We start from the raw sequence: 17,308 nt of genomic DNA, 5'->3' as shown, positions 1-17,308 counted from the left end.
TAGTATAGACGGGGTTTCACTGTGTTAGCCAGGATTTTTGTGCCTTTTTATAAGCCTCAATTATTTTCTATTAAATTAAATCATTCCCTAGGACGTCTCTGAGGCCTAGTCTCCTTGGCCCCCACCCCAAATAATATTTTTTTTAAAGGCCTGGGGTTAAGATATATTGGTAACCCCCTCATAATGCAAGACCTCAGGAACTTAGGCCACTGCCAGAAGGAAATCCAGAAACTCCTCCCATTGGCCCATTTCCAGGAGGCAGAGCTTTCTGTGAGCAGGGAGTGGAGACTTGGCAGCAATGTCCCCCAAAGCACTGTTCCATCAAATAGATCTGAAGGTGAATGAAGCCTCCCGGGGAGTGGGGCAGGCCGACATGAGGCAAGCTTTGCCAACTAATTCCCTTCTATTGGGAAAGTATTGGGCTGCCTGCACCCCTGGAGGGGAGCAGGTGTCAGTGCTGTCTCTAATTATACCACCCAGGGCAGCCTTGGATGCTCCCCACATTGCCCCAGCTCAGCTGACTCTGGCCATGTCATTCTCCAGATTACAAATGCTCAGCTCAGGAGAGCCCTCCTCCTCTCCACCCTGCTGTGATTCTGAGGCTGGAGAATTCCTTAGTTCTGAGCCCCAAGAGAGAAATGCCCCTCAAGCAGCTGGACCTGAGGCTGATTGGCAGCACTGAGCAGGGCCAGATTCCCCTCTCTACCACTGTCCTCTTCCCAAGCCCAATGAGCAAGAGGGGAGGCCGCCTGGCCTTCTGGCCAGTCACAGACCCTGGGCACCTGGAGCAAAACATGGAGCCCAGGAGACACACATCTAAGAGCTGCCACAGACACAGGCACGCGGCCTGCCATGGCCGGGTGGCACAGCACCAGACTGTGAGCATCACATGGGGGTCTCAGGCCCCACTCTGCCACTAGCTGTGACTGCCACCAATCTGCTTTGCCTTTCTGGGTTTCAGTGAGCCCCTCTATAAGTAGTTACTTCTCTCACAGGGTTGTGAGGAAGAAGGAAGAAAGGGGATGTGTATTAAAGATTACATTCAGAAGGCACTGTGAATAGTGCTTTGGGTTGCCAGGCCACCTTACAGACAGCTTTATCCAGGTCCCGTCCCACTGTGGAATGCCCTGTCATCTCGTTCCTCAAATGCGTGGAGCTCCTGCTCTCTGCCTGGCAGCGGCAGAGTGCTAGAACTGCTCCCCAGCCAAGCTCATTCATTAATTCAACAGCTCCGCACCGCTCCTGGGCAGGTACCCGGGATTTAGAGATGAATTAGACTCATCACCTGCCCCAAGGGCTCTGGCTAGTGGGGAGACAGATATGTCACTGAGGAAGTGACACAGTAATACGAGACGGAGCTCAGGGAAGCTTCCGGGAGCATCACCAAGTTGGGCAGAGAGGAATGAGCGGGTGGAAAGCCAGAAGTAGGTTGGTGGGGAGTTCTCAGCAAGGAGGAAGTAGGGGCCAAGGGCCTGACAGACAGCAGCAAACTCCCCCTTGGCATCCAGACAAGTCATTCTCTCCCCGAGGGGCAGCAGAGGTCCCAGGAGGGCCACAGGCCAGTGCCCCCAAGCAGACAGGACACACACACACACACACACACAGTGGCACCTTACAGCTAGACACACACACACACAGCAGCACCTTACAGCTAGAGACACACACCCACACACAGACACACACAACAGCAGCTCAGAGCCAGAGAGGAAACCAAGTCCGCAGGTAAAAATTATACTTTTATTTGAGTCACCAGGAGAAAGATTCACTTGTGGTTCAAGTCAAATGTTCAGAATCATAACAGGCCAGAAAGGTTTGATCCCGAGCACAAGCCCACGAGGGAGGGGACCAAAACAGACCAAAATGAGACAACAACCCCATATAAAAAGATGAACTGGCGGCTTCACACACTCACACACATACACATACACACGGATGAAATGTTTGGACAGAGGCAAATTTCACGTGGTCATTTCTGTTTCTTTTTAAATACAGGTTTGTAGGGTGGTATTTTGTTTTTTCCAGCTATAAAAAAAGGCCCAAAAGTGCATGTGTGAGGGGGGAAAGGCAGAAATTAAGCAATAAAGTCATTTTCCCTGGAGGGACATGAGAGGGAGAAAACAGGAGGCAGTGCTGGGAGAACGCACTTTCCTCACCACTGGGCTTCTTGTTATTCTTAGTATTGGTCCACAAAAGTTATATTCACATTCTAGCTTTGATGCCTCTTTCCTGGGATTAAATGAGCTGAAAGACCTCTGTGAACTGTAGAGAAGACCAGGGGCTCAGCCCAGCCCAGCCCAGCCCCTCAGGGCTCTGTGCTCTTCTAGGGATGGATGGTTTTGGTAAAGAACAGACGCCCAGCAGCCCCCGGTCACTCAGCACCAGTGTGACAGTCCCTCCTCTCTCTGGGGGTGTGTAAGAAAACGGCCCCTATTTTTAGGACAGGAAGAGTAGAGGGAGGGCCTGCAGCAAGATTCCATGACTGGCTTGCCTTATCTGGGAAGGAGAATTAAGCTGAGTGAAAACAGGCTGCTTCTTGCTGCTCCTCCCTTCCACTCACCACTCTCCCAAACTCAGGTCCTCTAAGGGGATGTGTCCCTGACCTTTGGTCCCCAAATCCACATTGTGCTTTGAGATCAAGAGGAAACAGAATGCACCAGCGCCACCCAAGACTCCCAAGAGATTCTCTGCCTCCCCGAGCCCCCAAATCGCCCAATATAAGATATTCCACTTGCCTCCACCTAGGCTGGGGCCAGAAAGGAAAAGGGATGGGTCAGGCAGGGCCTCCCCACCCACAGTCTTTTCCTCAACCTCTCATTCGGGGCAAACATCCCCAAATCAATTAACAAGCAGTTGACAAAAACACCCATGATGACTGATTGTTGAACAGGCCAATACCTTCAGGTCCTGCCCCTCACCTGTGGGTACAAGTGTGCCAAGGGACAAGAGGCCAATGGCAGGGCCTGGTTGGGCTCAGGATGAAAATGGGATGGGGACTCCCAGAGGGTGGCAAGAAAACCAGAGATGAATCAAGTGAGGCCAGGGTTGTCACAGCCACCCATGAGCAGAGAGCAGGAACTGGATATAGCACCGTCTTTCCCTCCCCATCCCCGAGGCTGTGCTTCCAGTTTTGCAGCCCTGGGACCCTCTTTCTTGCTTCAAGGGAGCTTTATGTAAGTGAGGGGGAGGTCTAGGGGAAGAGCCCCCGAGGGAGACACCCACAGGGTGACACTTCTGCCACCCTATTCTGTAGCCCCAGACAGAGATGGGGAAACATATGCCTGGAGTGACAGAGCCTTCCTCCACCGCTTAGCCCCAGCAGGCTGCAGACCCTATGGCAGCCCCAACTCCACACCAACCTCTTACCTTCCACCCTGCACACTGCAAAGGGCAGATTGGTGGGCTTCCTCCACTCAGAGATGGGGGGAAGGAGGAATTTCATTCCAAAGAAAACCTAAGGAACTTCTCTGCCCCAGGAGCCCTCCCCTCTCACTGTGGGTTCTGAGGAAACTCTCAGGGGAAGACAGCTCTTCATACCCTCACATAACCCCACCCACACACAGGCCCAGAGACACCTACAGACACACCCCCGCCCCATCTCTCACACTCACACTCACACACTTGCGTGTCAGACACCTGCAGACATACATGCTCCTGCCTCCGCACACCAGGTCTTGGAGATTTAGTGGTCCCTGCTGACTTTGTGCAGCTCCAAGTCCACTTGGCATTGGGCTGGGGAGGGGAGGTCATGGAAGGCTCTGAGACATCTTCCCATGAGGAGCAGGGAGGAGCGGCCACCTAACCCAGATCCTGGGGGCTGAGGGAGGCTGAAGACCAAAAGGTCCTGAGGCACCCTTGCCCTACACTTCGGGACCATGGCTTCCAGCCTAGGAGGCAGGCAAGGGTCCCTGGAGACTGGGGGTGGGCGTGGGGAAAGGGGCTGCGGAAGAGAACTCCTTGTTCCCCTCCTTCCGGTAGCTGTCCCTAAAATTAAGAAAGGCAAGAACCTGACCCAAGCTGTGCTTCCTCGGGAGCTCTTTGCCCGCTGCAGGTCTGCGTGGGCAGGAGGGCAAAATCACAGTGTGCGAAGGAACGCGCGGGGAGGGGATGAATTCGCCCCACAGCAGGAACCCCATTCTCCTGTTGTTGCCCCTGAGGAGGGAGGTAGGGAGAGAGACCCCAGGTGGGCAGAGCCCCCTCTTTGAGAAAGAGAGGTAGAGCCCATCCCACTGGTCCCTACACAGCGGCAGAGTCCCCATCGCCATCCCAGGAACCAAGAAGTGGATCCCACTCTGGGGAATGTAGGGAGCCCCTGACCTGGGGTCCTGGCAGTCAGGCTCACCCCAGCCCTGGAATGTGTGGGTATGTGAGGAGCTGGGCAGGAGGATGTGAGGGGAGAGAACAGAGGGGCAGGTGAGGCCCACAGGCCAACAGGTCTCCCATTCCAGCCCTGCCTCCCCCAGAGAGGCCCATGCCCGTTCCATCCAGAGAGAAAACCAAGAAGTCGATCAAGGGGGAAGCCTGCCAGAGGAGGGAGCCCGCAGAAGTGGCAGAAGAAGGCTTCAGTTGGCAAAAGAAGCTGGAAGAGGGGTAGGAATCACAAGCTGTCGCAGGTTTTAAAAAACAGAGACACTGAAGAATGGACGGGTCACGCCCAGGACGGATGCGATGCCGTGGAATGTGCTGAAGACAGATGGGGGCGCTGCGGGTTCAGATGGCCTCCACGTAGTTGGCCGGCAGCATCCCCGTGTCGCCGGTGCGCTCCACCGTCCCGTACATCCAGCCGTCGTCGATCTGCTGCACGTTGACGATGGTGTCCCCGTCCTGGAAGGAGACCTCGTCCTCGTCGGCGGCGCTGTAGTCATACACCGCGCGGTACCGCTTCTGTGGGGGAAGTGTGGTCAGCCTAGGGCCCTGCATGCCGGCTCACCTGGGTCTGAGCATTTTTTTCTAACTCTCCACGACCCTGGAGCAGAGCCTGGGGGAGCAGTGAACTCAGAAATGGAGCACCAGGCTCTGCTGCAAAGATTCTTAACCTCTGTGTCTTGCTTTCTGAGAGCAATCGATCTTTTACAACCTTTGGCAGCTACTAAGGGCCAGAGGCAGAGCAGGGACCGGGTCACATCAGCTCTGCCCCACCTCCCTGAACAGGACTGCAGTAAGGTCCACCAGCCATGATGACAGAGTAATGTCTAAAAATACGACATGCAGGCCAGGTGCAGTGGCTCACGCCTGTAATCCCAGCACTGTGGGAGGCCAAGGCAGGAGAACTGCTTGAGCCCAGAAGTTTGAAATCAGCCTGGGAAACACAGTAAGACCCCCCAACTCCCTCTTTTTTTTTTTTTTTTTGAGATGGAGTCTTGCTTTGTCACCCAAGCTGGAGTGCAATGGTGTGATCTTGGCTCACTGCAACATCCGCCTCCCGGGTTCAAGCGATTCTCCTGCCTCAGCCTCCCAAGTAGCTGGGACTATAAGCGTGTACCACCATGCCCGGCTAATTTTTGTACTTTTTTGTAGAGACAGGGTTTCATCATGTTGGCTACGATGGTCTCAAACTCCTGGTCTCAAGTGATCCGCTCGCCTCGGCCTCCCAAAGTACTAGCGTGAGCCCATCTCAACAAAAAATAAAAAATTAGTTAGGCTTAGTGGTACATGCCTGTAGTCTCAGCTACTCAGGAGGCTGAGGTGGGAGGATGGCTTCAACCCAGGAGGTTAAGGCTGCAGTGAGCTAGCTGTGATTGCACCACTGCTGCACTCCAGCCTGGGCAGCAGAGCAAGACCCTGTCTCAAAAAAGAAAAAAAAAACAGAAAAAACATGCCCTGTATGCTATTATTTGTATGATTATAAGCACCAGTAGTTTCTTTTAGAAGCCATGATGAGTCCTGTCCAAGTTCAGGACAAAGATCTTTCCTTGGGAGAAAAATCTTCAGAGGACAGAAGACGAGTCTATCAGGTTCCACCTTCCAAGCCTCAGCCAAAATCTGCCGCTTAAGCCCTAGATCTAGGTAATGTTCAGTAAGGCACACAAAAACCTACAGCGCCACCTACTACCAGGATGGAGTTTAAAAAAAGAAAGAGGAAAAAAAAAAGAAAAATAAATCCTATAGCTATAGACAACATTCTACCTCCCCTGACCTTCACTGCCCTTGACTGGTCTCTGAGGCTCCACAGGACAGTTTGAAACCAACAGGTCTATGGGATAAGAAGTCACACCTCCCATGAAGTAACCTCAGTCTCTCTCATCACCAATTCTGCCTCTATCTTGGGCTGAGCCACTCCCATCCATGCCTATATCCTGCAACAGCCTCCTGACGGTCTCCCTGCTTCTACCCTCAAACCACTGCCTCTTCTCAACACAGCTGCCAGGGTGGTCTTCCAAAAACCTATGTCGCTCTGCACAGATCACAGGTCACAGAGGCCTTCCTGGGGCCCACAAGTCCCTGCATAATCGGACCTCCCACCCTCTCCCACTCTAGTCAATTCGGGCTTCCTGCTGCTCCCTGAACTTTCCTAGAATATTCCTGCCTCAGAGCCTTTGCACTTCCTGTCCTCGTTGCACGGCTCACTCCTTCCTTTATTGAGGACTTTGCTCAAATGTCACGTCTTTTTTTTCTTTTTTTTTTTCTAGCTGGAGTTTTGCTCTTGCTGCCCAGGCTGGAGTGCAAATGGCGTGATCTCGGCTCACTGCAACCTCCACCTCCCAGGTTCAAGCAATTCTCCTGCCTCAGCCTCCCGAGTAGCTGGGATTATGAACATGCACCACCATGCCGAGCTAATTTTATATTTTTAGTAGAGACAGGGTTTCACCATGTTGGCCAGGCTGGTTTCGAACTCCTGACCTCAGGTGATCTGCCCACTTTGGCCTCCCAAAGTGCTGGGATTACAGGTGTGAGCCATCGCACCCGGCCAAATGTCTTTTTTCTTTGGAGATATTGCTCTGTCACCCAGGCTGGAGTGCAATAGTGCAATCTTGGCTCACTGCAACCTCTGCCTCTCGGGTTCAAGCAATTCTACTGCCTCAGCCTCCCGAGTAGCTGGGATTACAGGTTACAGGCATACACCACCACACCTGGCTAATTTTTGTATTTTTGGTAGACAGGGGGTTTCACCATGTTGGCCAGGCTGATCTCGAACTCCTGACCTCAAGTGACCTGCCCGCCTTGGCCTCCCAAAGTGCTGGGATTACAGGCGTGAGCCACCACCCCCGGCCAAATGTCTTAATCCAGCTGCTTTCTATCCATCCCTCACCCTGCTGTCTTTCTCTTCACAGCGTGTCACCGCTGACCTTATGTTATACACCTATTTTCTTATTGTTTTCTTGTTTGTCCCCCTGACTGGAATGTAAGCCCCCAGAGGGCAGAGAGGTGGCTTTATATTCAGAGATGGACCCTACACATCCAGGACAGACCCATTGAGGAGGGAGGGACTGGCTGGGCTGCCTGGAACCTTATACTTCAGACTAACTCTTGCGCCCACAGTGCCCTGGGCAGTCCTAACATCCCTTTGTTTGTGTGCCCAGAGCATCAGACTCCAGCCAGCCATTATCTCAGGCGATTTTATCTCTCTAAGTATCTGTTCTGCTCCTACGTGAGCTACTTTGAATTCCCAGGCACCCAGCCTGGAGGCGCTGAGCCTGCCAGGAGCTTGGTAAGGGTGGCTCAGCGGCACCCATGGGTGGAGTGAGTGGCAGGACTTACAGAGCCGGGACTTCAGCTCTGAGGGCTCAGGAAGCCTGATCTCACCCCATTCCTGCTGGGCTTATTCACTTGCTCTAGGCCTGGCTCAGAGTAGGTGAACCAGACGGACGCTGCCAGGGTCCCCAGCCCAGCAGGGGACACAGAGAAGGTGACCAACACGAAGAGCTCTTTTTAGTTGGAAAAAGTGCTCTGAAGGCAGCCAGCGGAGTCGAGTGATGCAAAGCATCAGGGTGATGCGCTTTACACGACATGGCTGGGGAGGCCCCTCAGAGGCAGGGGCAGCCTGAGAGCTGAAGGATGTGGGGGCCATCCTCATGAAGCGAGGAGAGCAGCGCCCAGTGCTGGAAGGCCCCATGCAGAAAGTTGCCTTGTGTGTTCCCAGGTAGCTGGGGTAAGGAAACCCCACCCAAAGCAGGGTGAGCAACCTGCCCATGGTACACCAGGGCTGGAACGCAGGGCCCCAGTCCCAGCCAGCCTCTGCCCACTACGCCAACCAATTTCCTCTCTGCTCACAAGGCTGAGATCCTTATCATCACACACAACAGAGGGTGGGTGCAAAGGTCAGGAGAATCCATGAGCTGTGTCCAAGCCTTCCCGAAGGACCCCCTGCCTCTGGCCTCTCCCCTCCGGCCAGGGTTACTCACCCCGCCACCACCTGGGGCGCTGCGCTGTATGGAGACTGGGGCTGCAGGCTCCTTGTAGCCACCATAGGACTGGGCCACCGGCTGCTGCTGGGGCTGCTGGTAAACTGGAAGATGGGAGGAGACAGGGCTTGGAAACTGTCCTGCCAAACCCAGCCCCTCCCAGAGCTCCCGAGAAGTCCATACCATGCACTTCCACCCCGCCCCCAACCTGGCTCAAGCCCCACAGCTCAAAGGCTGATGTCCACGTGTGCACATTTGCCTGTGTGTTGTATCCCACGCAGGGGCTCTGAGCCCCATGACCTGGGGGCCTCTCCTTTCAATCCTCTTGGCCCAGTACAGGCCTGACCCTGGTGCTCACGTCCTCATTCTGGATGAGAATGGAACTTGGGGTCTTGGGAAGCAGTCTTTTCCTCGCCTGCATGCGTGCGTGCATGTGTGTGTGTGTGTGTGTGTGTGTGTGTGTGTGTGTCTGTCTCTCGCCGACTTCCTCCCCACCCCAGCTGGCCCGGCCTCAGGTCCTCTGGTCCCCTCTTGCACACAAGAGGCATAATCGCCTGTTGATTAAGAGCAAGGCTCCGGAAGGTGTATCTGTCTGTCTGTCTTCTCCTGGCTTCCTCCCCACCCCACTGGCCTCGCCTCAGGTCATCTGCACCAACAGGACCTGCACTCACCCGGGGCACTGGTCGGGATGTGGTGAGGCTGCTGCTGCTCCAGGGGCCGCCGGTAGCTGCTGCCGTCCTGTGAATCCCGACGCTCTGGCTCCATGCCCTCGCCCCCGCTAGGGCCCATGCGGCTCTTCTCAAACTCCTCATGGTATTTTATCTGCAAGGTCAGAAGGCACTAGGTGAAGGGTCCCACTGCAAACCACCCAGTTCCTTCCCGTGACCCTCAAGATCCCAGGATGGGAGAGACTACCCAAGAGCTTTGGGTACAGAAAGCCAGGTCTCGCTCTGGAAGCACCAGCTGTGTGTCCTTGGACAAGCTACCTAATCTTGCCAAGCCTCAGTTTTCACCTCTGCAAAATGAGACACCAGTCTCCCTCAGACACTGTTGGAGAATGCAATGAAATGACCGATGTAAAAGGACCATGAGAACTGAAGAATCAGACCAAAGTGAGTGGTCCCTTTTCTTTTTTTTTTTTTTTCGAGACGGAGTTTGGCTCTGTCGCCCAGGCTGGAGTGCAATGGTACGATCTCAGCTCACCGCAACCTCCACCTCCAGGGTTCAAGTGATTCTCCTGCCTCAGCCTCCTGGGCGGCTGGGATTACAGGCGCCTGCCACTACGCCCAGCTAATTTTTTGTATTTTAATAGAGACAGGGTTTCATCATGTTGACCAGGCTGGTCTCAAACTCCTGACCTCAGGTGATCCACCCGCCTCGGCCTCCCAAAGTGCTGGGATTACAGGCGTGAGCCACCGTGACCGGCCAAGTGGTCACTTTTATATGCCTGCGGCAGGGGCGGGGCTGCTCTGTTTCCGCCTGGGTCCACAGTAACCACAGCAGCAGCCCGTTTCCTGAGCTCTTACTGCGCCAGGGCCGTGCTAGGTGTTTTATGTCACAGGCTCATGTGAGCTCGTCAGCGCCCCTGAGGGGTAGATTGCAGACCCCATGTAACAGGCAAGAAGGAAGCGAAGGGATTGATAAGTGAAGTGAGTGGCCCAAGATCACAGATTCCAGAGCCTTGCTCTTCATCAACAGGCGATTCCACCTCTTGTGTGCAAGATGTCGTGGGTACTACAGCCTAGGATGCTCCGCTGAGAATCCCAGCCTTTAGGGATAAAAACTGCCAGACCCTCCCTGAGGGCGGGACATTGTCTTGGATGGGCTCCTTCTCGGGTCAGGTTCCAAAAATGAGCAGAGAGGCCCAAAGAAGTCATATCCCTCAGGACCACCCCACTAGGCGGGCATGTGAGGCTCCAAGCCTTCAAGTCAGTCTCTTGCCCCCACAGTGCTCTACTGGCTACAGAGTCCCCCACCTTGACCACCACCACCCAGGAGTCTTGAGTTGGGCCTCATGTTGTTTGAGGGCTGTGACTGTGCCTGCCTGGGGCTGGCTGCATTAGCCATCAAGGTCAGGAGGGCAGGGGAGGCAGGTGCCCACCAAGCCAAGCTGGGGAGGGGAGGGAAGCTGCACTCTGCCCAGACCCCTTGGGTGCTATGGTGGAGGACTTGGCCAGTTTGGGGGAACCAGAGCCCCTGCTACCTCCATCAGAGACCTAAGCAGGGTCAGCCAGAGGAAGCCCCACCTCCACTACCAGAAAGAAACCTCAGGGTCAACTGGCCCATTTGTGTCCAGAGCCTCGGCGCCAGCTCAGTCCTCTTAGCCAACTGAGTTAGAGAGAAATGGTCGTTCATTCACCTTGTCTTCTTCAGGCTGAGTCCCATGGTGGGACGAGAACACCGGCCTCGGTGTTCCCTGCTAGATCCAGATCCTGATTGGCCCCAGGCTTCCTCCACCTCCCATCCCCCATGGCACCTTCTCCAGACACAAGCCCTTTCCTCCTCTCAGGTCTGAAAACTGTCCAGATGGCCTTCTGGGGCTGTGCCAGACTCCCAAAGACAGGCCTGCCAAGGTCTCCTGGATCTCAGCCCAAGAGCCAGACCCTGGAGAATCACGGGTGACTCCTTGTGCTTGCGGCACCCTGACCCTGTGGCAACCAGATCCTGCGGCACCCTGGCCCAGCGGCACCCTGGCCCTACCCTGACCCTGTGGCACCCTGGCCCTACTCTGACCCTATGGCACCCTGGCCCTACCCTGACCCTGTGGCACCCTGGCCCTGTGGCAATCTGACCCTGCGGCACCCTTGCTCCCTCTCTCCTTCCTCCAGCCGCTCCATGCGGCGTAAGGCCCACACTTTCACATCTCATGTGCCTGGATCCAGCTGCTCTAGCCCCACCTGGGCCAGCCCAGAACCGGCCCCTGGGCCCATATGGGACAGGGGAAAAGTCAAGGTCCCTATTCCCAGGCACGCATATATCAGGTGGGTTTTGAGGCCTGATATATGTAGTTCTTGAGGCAGCAAGAACTACACCACAAGAAAGGCGGGTGGTGAGGCCGAGCACGGTGGATCACGCCTGTAATCCCAGAACTTTGGGAGGCCAAGGTGGGTGGGTCACTTGAGGTCAGGAGTTCGAGACCAGCCTGGCCAACTTGGTGAAACCCTGTCTCTACTAAAACTACAAAAATTAGCTGGGTGTGGTGACGGGCGCCTATAATCCCAGCTACGCGGGAGGCTGAGGCAAAAGGATAGCTTGAACCTGGGAGGCAGAGGTTGCGGTGAGCCAAGATCATGCCACTATACTCCAGCCTGGGTGACAGAGTGAGACTCCGTGACTCTGTCTCAAAATGAAAAAAAAAAGACAAGTCATAAAGCCTCACATACATATCTCATTGCCTCAAATGGGAAAAGACCTCCAGGTGAGCCTATTTATGGGGGAGGGAGCCAGCCCTGGCCAGACTGACCACGCCCAACCCCACTAGGAAGGGCACCAGGGCACTCCCAGACACGGGGCCCATGCCCTGTTCTCAGATCCCTAAGACAAGGCCAGAAGTGACTCTCCCAGCCCACTCCCTCAGCAGCACCCTGTCCCCTGGCTGGGGTGGTGGGGGAAGACAAGGGAAGGAGATACCAGCCAGCAGCCCTAGTTGATACACTTCATGCATATCAGCTCGCCGAATCCTCCCCACAAGTCTCTGAGGTAGTCAATGTCATATCCCGATATCCAGAGAGGCTAAGGGACCTGCCCAAGGTCATCTGGACACATGGTGGTAGGGAGGGAAGGGATTAAGGTCAACCTGGAGGCAGCCCACCCTCGCCACTCAAGGGCAGTCCAGGCTTCTCTCATCCTTCAAGGTCCATCTCGGCACCTCATCCTCGGGACGCTGGCCCTGGCTCCAGGCTGAACCCAGGGCTTCCATAGCACCTGGGACTGGGCTGTGCTGTTGGCGGGTGGTGTCCCCCACCCCCACTGGATGGAAGCTCCTGGAAGGTAGTGAAGGAGCCAGTTATTCTGATGCAGGGGTCTCCCACAGCACTGCACACCCCAGGCCTCAGGACTGGCTGAAGAGAACAGACCAGGATCCTGGAGACCCTTGAGCTTTGCTTCTTAACATGTGGTCTCCTGGCCGGGCGCGGTGACTCACGCCTGTAATCCCAGCACTTTGGGAGGCTGAGGCTGGTGGATCACCTGAGGTCAGGAGTTTGAGACCAGCCTGGCCAACATGGTGAAATGCCGTCTCTACTGAAAATACAAAAATTAGCTGGGCATGATGGCAGGCACCTGTGATCCCAGCTACTCGGAAGGCTGAGGCACGAGAATTGCTTGAACCTTGGAGGCGGAGGTCGCAGTGAGCCAAGATCACGCCATTGCACTGCATCCTGGGCAACAGACTGAGACTCTGTTTAAAAAAAAGTGGACTCCAGACTACCTGTGTCTGACTCAACTGGGCTCCTTGTTAGAATGCGGGTTCTGGGGCCTTCCAGAAAATCTACAAAATCAGGGCTGGGGTTCTGGAATATGCATTTTGGAAAAAAGCTCTCCAGGTAAGTCTGAAGCAGGCTTCAAGTCTGAGAACGGGTGGTCTAGAGCAGAAGCTGGGAATCTATGGTCCATGGACCAAATCCAGCCCACAGCCGGCTGCTAAGAACGGGTTCCACATTCTTTAATGCTTGGCAGGGGGCGGTGGAGGGGGGGAAGAAGAACCAAAAGAGGAATAATATTTCATGACACATGAAATTTCTCTGAAATTCAAATTTCAGCCTCCAGAAATAAAGTTTTATTGGAACACAGCCACACCCACTCAATTACCTCTTATCTGTGGCTGCTTTCATGGCAGAACTGCAGAACTGAGCTGCTGCCACAGAGGCCATATGGCCACAAAGCCTGAGATACCTCCTACCTGGCCCTTTACAGAAAAAACTTAGTGACCCTTGTTTGCCAAAATATTCTGACGGCATACTCCTATTGGTTAAATGTATTTTAGCACAATCTTCCTGAATTATGTGTATTTTATAAGTTACATGGAAGTTATCACTTGACAAATATAGAATGTATATTGTAAAACTTGCACCAAAGAATGAATTGTGAAAGTATGAGATGGCCAGGTGCGGTGGCTCACACCTTTAATCCCAGCACTTTGGGAGGTCGAGGTTGGCAGATTGCTTGAAGTCAGGAGTTCAAGACTAGCCTGGCCAACACAGTGAAACCCTGTCTCTACTGAAAATACAAAACTTAATCAGGCATGGTGGTGGGCACCTGTAATCCCAGCTACTTGGGAAGCCGAGTCATGAGAATCACTTGAACCCAGGAGACGGAGATTGCAGTGAGCTGAGATCGAGCCACTGTACTCCAGCCTGGGAGACAGAGTGAGTCCATCTCAAAACAAATGAATGAATGAATGAATGAATGAATGAATGAGATGAAAAAGAACCAGAACCAGGAGTTAGAGTTTTCTTCCTGTAGGAACATGCTGCCTGTCCCACACCTTGATGACCCCTAGTGGGCTCTATCCTCTTCACTTTTCTTTCTTTTTTTTTTTTGAGATGGAGTCTCGCTCTGTCGCCCAGGCTGGAGTGCAGTGACACAGTCTCGGCTTACTGCACCCTCTGCCTCCCGGGTTCAAGTGATGCTCCTGCCTCAGCCTCCTGAGTAGCTGGGATTATAGGCAACTGCCACCACGCCCGGCTAATTTTTGTATTTTTAGTAGAGACAGGCTTTTACCATGTTGGCCAGGCTGGTCTTGAACTTCTTGACCTTGTGATCTGCCCACCTCGGCCTCCCAAAGTGCTGGGATTACAGCCGTGAGCCACCGTGCCCAGCCTCCTCTTCACTTTCCAGAGAGGAAACTGGTGGGGACGGGTACAACCATAGAAAGGTGTGAGGGTTCAGGGTTTGAGTGCTCCATGAGGATGGGGGAGGAAGCGGGACATAGAGTGAAGAGAGTGACAGCTCTCCCCCACCCTCAGGGGAAACTCAGAAAGCAGGACACCAGGACAAGGAGAGAAACTGGTCCTTCCCAGACGGGCTCAGGCCTGCAGGAATTTCCTCCAGGCCCTGGCAGGCACCTAGCTGGAAGCCAACTTCACTTCCTGTTCCCTAGAATGCTGGCCTGCCTTTTCCTGATCCGGGAAAATGGGGTGGGAGTAGTGGGGTGGGAAGAGGAGGAGAGGCAAAACCTGCTGTTTCCTGGAACGCCCCTGCCCCATCAGGGCTGTCCCAGCCTGGGCAGTCCCCTTTGGGCATCCCCTCCGCACAACGTCTCTGCTGCCTCCTCTCCCCCTTGGCACTGGCTGTGCACAAAAGGCAAGAGCAAGCACGTGGCCAGGCAGGGCTTACACGTTAACAGCTGGAAACACCTGCATGGTTGCTGCTCCTGCTGGCTGAACAGCCAATAGTTCCTGCAGCCCGGGCTGGGGGCACAGGGAGGGCAGTGGTAAGGGCCTGGACAGAGTCTGGGGGGAGTCCAGTCTGGACGCAGAGGGCAGTTTACTTAGGGGTTTGGGTCAGGATCAGTCCCTCCTTTCCCGGCCCCCTCCCTTCAGGCCAGAGCAAGGACCGGCACCCACGTGGCAGCACAGGCTAAGCCTGTTCCTGAGGTGAGGCAGCCAACCCTGGCCAGGCTGAAAATCCAACCGACCCCAGCATCCGCTGGGAGGGGCACTCCAGGTGATGTTCTCACAGACCCAGCGCAGAAGGTGAGTCTCCCGAGCCCCACTCTCTTAGTGATCCCTGTCCACTGGTGTTGGTGGCGGGGAGGGCACAAGGGAAGGGGACACCCCTCCTGAGGCCTCCAGGCTCACGAGGCACCTGCCCTTCCAACTTTTGTTCTGAGGTGGGAAAGGTCAGCTTCCCTTGTTTCCTTTCTGCTAAGGAAAAGAGCCTGCCCCTGAGAACCTGTGACCAGGGAGGGAAGTGCAGACACGGAATGGACAGGGGCCTGCCCTGGGCCCCGAAGGTGCCAGCAGGGGGCCTGCAGGGACAGGTGTCCTTGATGTTGGGGGCCCAGATGAATGTGTGACAGCTTCCCTGGACATGACGCTATCTGCATTAGCGATGGGGTGACAGGGAGCCTTTTCCTCTGGGAGGAGAGCAGGTCTGGACCCCACAGGCTCAGTCCCTTATGATGGGCTGCACTGTCACCAGACCAATGCCTCATCCTTAGGGGAGCCGTATGCTTACCTACATGACCTTGGGAGTCACTTTCCCCTCTGGGTCTCAGTTTCCTCATCTGTAAATAAGGCCATGGTACCATCTGCTCCCAGGCGGTCCTGCAAACCCTGACCAGCTCTAGGAACCTGAGCAAACTCTAAGCTGAAAGCAAGTATGGACACATGGGTATTCCCATAAAGGGCTGGGGAAACTGATCTTGCTTCTTAAAAAGTCATTACACATGGATAAGTGTATCTAAAGTTACGGCTGGCTGACCCGACGGCTGGAGGAGTAGCTGCCTGAACCCAGGACACCCTTCCTGGGTGGCTCTATCAATGTTAACAACCTCTGCAGCTGTACAGCTCTTCACACAGCTTGACCAAGCTCTTCATACCCTGACAATCATTGCCCTAAAAAATGGGCCGGACACGCACACTTTCATTCCCATCTTCCAGAAGAGGAACATGAGGCTCAGAAATTAAATGACTTCCCGAGGCAGAGCTTTCATTGCTCAGTAACAGCCAAGGCTGGTGACACAAGGACAAAATCACAGCTAGACAGGCCCTTTCCTGAGAACAGGTGTGGAGCAGGGTGACCACACGCCCAAGTCCCAGTTCATGTCTGCTGCTCAGGGATAAATTTCAATGCACCCCTTTTCACTCTCAACAAGAATGATAATCAGAAAGTCACCCTAACTCGAGAGAGAGGGACACCAGGCATGCAACTCAGGACAGGCGGCACAGAGCGGCTAAATGGGCTGAGAAAAAGTGAGGCTCAGCTCCTTCCAGCCTGGGCCCACTTGGATAAAATTTCCAAACCCTCAGCTTCCTCTCCTTCCCCTCGCCAGCAAATGAGGAAATTGTGTTATTACTTTCCTGACCCACCTACTGGTTTGTTAAGCAAATAGGCACATGAGGGGGATGTTAGCACATTCAGAAGGCAAGGAAACATTTCCCAGCTTCCAAGGGCCTGGCTCATCCCTGCTCCAAGCTCTGCAAAGTTCTGGCCTTCAGAGAGCCCTGAGTGAGGAGCGCCCTAAGCCCAGACATGTCAGCACAGCCCCCAGCCTGGAAGCTGTCCTGGGCCTCTGTGGACACAGGCCACACTCTACCTGTGCCCATGAGGTCCAAGTACATGTGGGTTCAGGGGTCCAGGCCTAAGGACCCTCCCGACTCAGCCAGGACCCTACTAGCTGGGACTCCAGGATGACAAGTTAGGGTCCATGACAAAGCTCTGCTAGCTGATGTTCTGTTTTCTGACCCCCCTGCTCTCCCAACTGTGGTGGAAAATAAAAGTCTGACTCTCCATACGGTGCTCCTCACATGATTATACATCACAGTGAACGAGGGAACAGCAGGCTCTGGGTGGAATCATCAGCTCACCAGCTAGGGTCTTTTTTTGGGTGCCCTTACATGCATTACTCATTTCCTTTTCTTTTTTAACTTTATTTATTTATTTATTTATTTATTTTGAGACAGTCTTGCTCTGTCGCCCAGGATGGAGTGCAGTGGTGCGATCTCAGCTCACTGCAACCTCCACCTTCCAAGTTCAACCAATTCTCCTGCTTCTGTCTCCCAAGTAGCTGAGACTACAGGGGTGCACCACCATGCCCAGCTATTTTTTTCTATTTTTAGTGGACGCGGGGGTTTGCCATGTTGGTCAGGCTGATCTCAAACTCCTGGCCTCAAATCATCCACCTGCCTCAGCCTGCCAAAGTGCTGGGATTACAGGCCTGAGCCACCGCGCCTGGCCTCATTTCCTTTCCTCAGCCAGCCCGAGAATACTGCCATTTTACAGATAGGGAAACCAAGGCTCAAGAT

The 17,308-nt window shown here is 54.3% G+C and overlaps 1 protein-coding gene and 1 non-coding gene across 5 annotated transcripts in view, besides 3 other annotated features; both read right to left on the bottom strand.

Moving 5' to 3' along the window:
• Positions 877-1,487: an enhancer, noted in NCBI's record as "H3K27ac-H3K4me1 hESC enhancer chr17:37078252-37078862 (GRCh37/hg19 assembly coordinates)". NCBI's record gives its function as "activates a minimal SCP1, AML or CMV promoter by ChIP-STARR-seq in primed H9 embryonic stem cells {active_cell/tissue: H9 hESC(primed)}" and the evidence as "EXISTENCE:reporter gene assay evidence [ECO:0000049][PMID:30033119]".
• Positions 1,716-17,308, bottom strand: part of LASP1 (LIM and SH3 protein 1) — a 51,713-nt gene continuing 36,120 nt past the window's right edge. For all 4 annotated transcript variants that reach the window (NR_073384.2, NM_006148.4, NM_001271608.2 and 1 more), the window contains 3 exons: positions 9,011-9,161; positions 8,340-8,443; positions 1,716-4,881 (listed from right to left, as the gene is read on the bottom strand). Coding sequence is in view for 3 of the 4 variants with exons in the window: in NM_006148.4 (NP_006139.1) it covers positions 4,708-4,881; positions 8,340-8,443; positions 9,011-9,161 (429 nt within the window). In the remaining variant the exon portion in view is untranslated. The remainder of the gene's footprint in view (positions 4,882-8,339; positions 8,444-9,010; positions 9,162-17,308) is intronic.
• Positions 6,633-6,811: a silencer, noted in NCBI's record as "fragment chr17:37072928-37073106 (GRCh37/hg19 assembly coordinates)". NCBI's record gives its function as "represses an EF-1alpha promoter that drives an FKBP-Casp9 reporter gene in an ReSE screen in K562 erythroleukemia cells {active_cell/tissue: K562}" and the evidence as "EXISTENCE:reporter gene assay evidence [ECO:0000049][PMID:32094911]".
• MIR6779 (microRNA 6779) lies at positions 8,444-8,507 on the bottom strand. Its single transcript, NR_106837.1, has one exon. It is a non-coding gene; the product is annotated as a microRNA 6779 (primary transcript).
• Positions 10,615-11,574: an enhancer, noted in NCBI's record as "H3K27ac-H3K4me1 hESC enhancer chr17:37068165-37069124 (GRCh37/hg19 assembly coordinates)". NCBI's record gives its function as "activates a minimal SCP1, AML or CMV promoter by ChIP-STARR-seq in primed H9 embryonic stem cells {active_cell/tissue: H9 hESC(primed)}" and the evidence as "EXISTENCE:reporter gene assay evidence [ECO:0000049][PMID:30033119]".

The sequence above is a fragment of the Homo sapiens genome, chromosome 17 (assembly GCF_000001405.40).
Source record: "Homo sapiens chromosome 17, GRCh38.p14 Primary Assembly".
Lineage (NCBI taxonomy): Eukaryota > Metazoa > Chordata > Mammalia > Primates > Hominidae > Homo > Homo sapiens.
The sequence above is the reverse complement of the archived record's forward strand: the minus strand, read 5'-3'. Positions and strand labels throughout refer to the sequence as shown.